Source organism: Homo sapiens, chromosome 16 (assembly GCF_000001405.40).
Source record: "Homo sapiens chromosome 16, GRCh38.p14 Primary Assembly".
Lineage (NCBI taxonomy): Eukaryota > Metazoa > Chordata > Mammalia > Primates > Hominidae > Homo > Homo sapiens.
Genome location: NC_000016.10, coordinates 59612542 through 59614027, shown reverse-complemented (window position 1 = coordinate 59614027; position 1486 = coordinate 59612542). Strand labels below are relative to the sequence as shown.

At 38.6% G+C, this 1486-nt stretch overlaps 1 annotated feature.

Annotated features, from left to right (window-relative positions):
* Positions 458 to 1170: an enhancer, noted in NCBI's record as "NANOG-H3K27ac hESC enhancer chr16:59646762-59647474 (GRCh37/hg19 assembly coordinates)". NCBI's record gives its function as "activates a minimal SCP1, AML or CMV promoter by ChIP-STARR-seq in naive H9 embryonic stem cells {active_cell/tissue: H9 hESC(naive)}" and the evidence as "EXISTENCE:reporter gene assay evidence [ECO:0000049][PMID:30033119]".

The following is a 1486-nucleotide window of genomic DNA, read 5'->3' as shown; positions in this document are numbered from 1 at the left end:
ATTTTCCTATTAACTCTTCCATACACAGAGATAGACGGATTAATCAGATACAACTCTTTCCTTTCAGAGCATCCATCACTGTCTTCATATTCCAGGATTCCAGCCTTGTCATGGTGATGACATAGTTTCACACAAAAGTGTGGTTGCTTTTTGTAATGATTCAAATAATTTTGGAAAACAAATCATATGAGACTTCTCTCCAAGATAGTAGTTTTCAATTTTTTTTTTTTTTTTTTTTTTTTTGGCTATGGACCTTTTACACTCTTAAAAATTATTGAGGATTCCAAAGAGGTTTCCTTCATGTGGGTTATATCTGTTGATATTTAATGTATTCAAAATTTTAATGAGGAATTGTTTAAGGTTTTATTTATTAATTCATTTAAAAATAACAATAAACCCATTAAATGTTGTCTTAGTCCATTTGGACTACTATAACAAAATACAATCGACTGAGTGGCTTATTGTCACACATGTCCATGTGAAGAGATCACCAAAAAGGCTTTGTGTGAGCAACAAGGCTGTTTATTTCACCTGGGTGCAGGCGGGCTGAGTCTGAAAACAAGAGTCAGGGAAGGGAGATAGGGGTGGGGCAGTTTTATAGGATTTGGGTGGGTAGTGGAAAATTACAGTCAAAGGGGTTTTTCTCTTGCAGGCCTGGGCAGGGGTCACAAGGTGCTCAGTGGGGGAGCTTCTGAGCCAGGAGAAGGAATTTCACAAGGTAATGTCATCAGTTAAGGCAGGAACCGGCCATTTTCACTTCTTTTGTGATTCTTCACTTGCTTCAGGCCATCTGGATGTATACGTGCAGGTCACAGGGGAAATGACAGCTTAGCTTTGGCTCAGAGGCCTGACACTTATAAACAACAGAAATTTATTGCTTACAGTTCTGGATGGTGGAAGTTCGAGATCAGGGCACCAACACCGTCAGATTCTGGCAAAGGCGCAATTCCTCTTAGCCTTTTTCTCCCTCCAACCTGACACAGTGGAAGCGGCCAGGGGGTCTCTCTTGAAAGGGCACTAACCCCATTCATTCATGCTCTATCCTCATCACCTAATTCTCTCTTATTACCTCCAAATACCATCACCTTGGAGGTGAGGATTTCAACATATGAATTTTGGAGAGACATAAACATTCAGACCATAGCACATGTTAACATAAATAACACGTTAACATCTACAAAAAAGGAGTTAGAAATGCAGCATTGTTTTATACTTTTCAAATTTTAATGTCTCAGTAAAAGACAGCTGGAGTATCATAGCTGCTTCTGTGTTCAGTCTATTGCATATCCTTTTGGTTGAAATAAATGAAGAAAATTTGGCCTCACAAACAAGTGTCGTTGAAAGGCAAAACTTCCTAGACCCCTCTTTGAGAATGTCTGTTCTGGGAAAAGCAAGAGGTATATTCTAGTAGCTCTGTGAAATTCTGTATTCAAAAACAAATTAACCAAAAGGATAAATTTATCCTTTCACCAAGCAGTTACTAAGT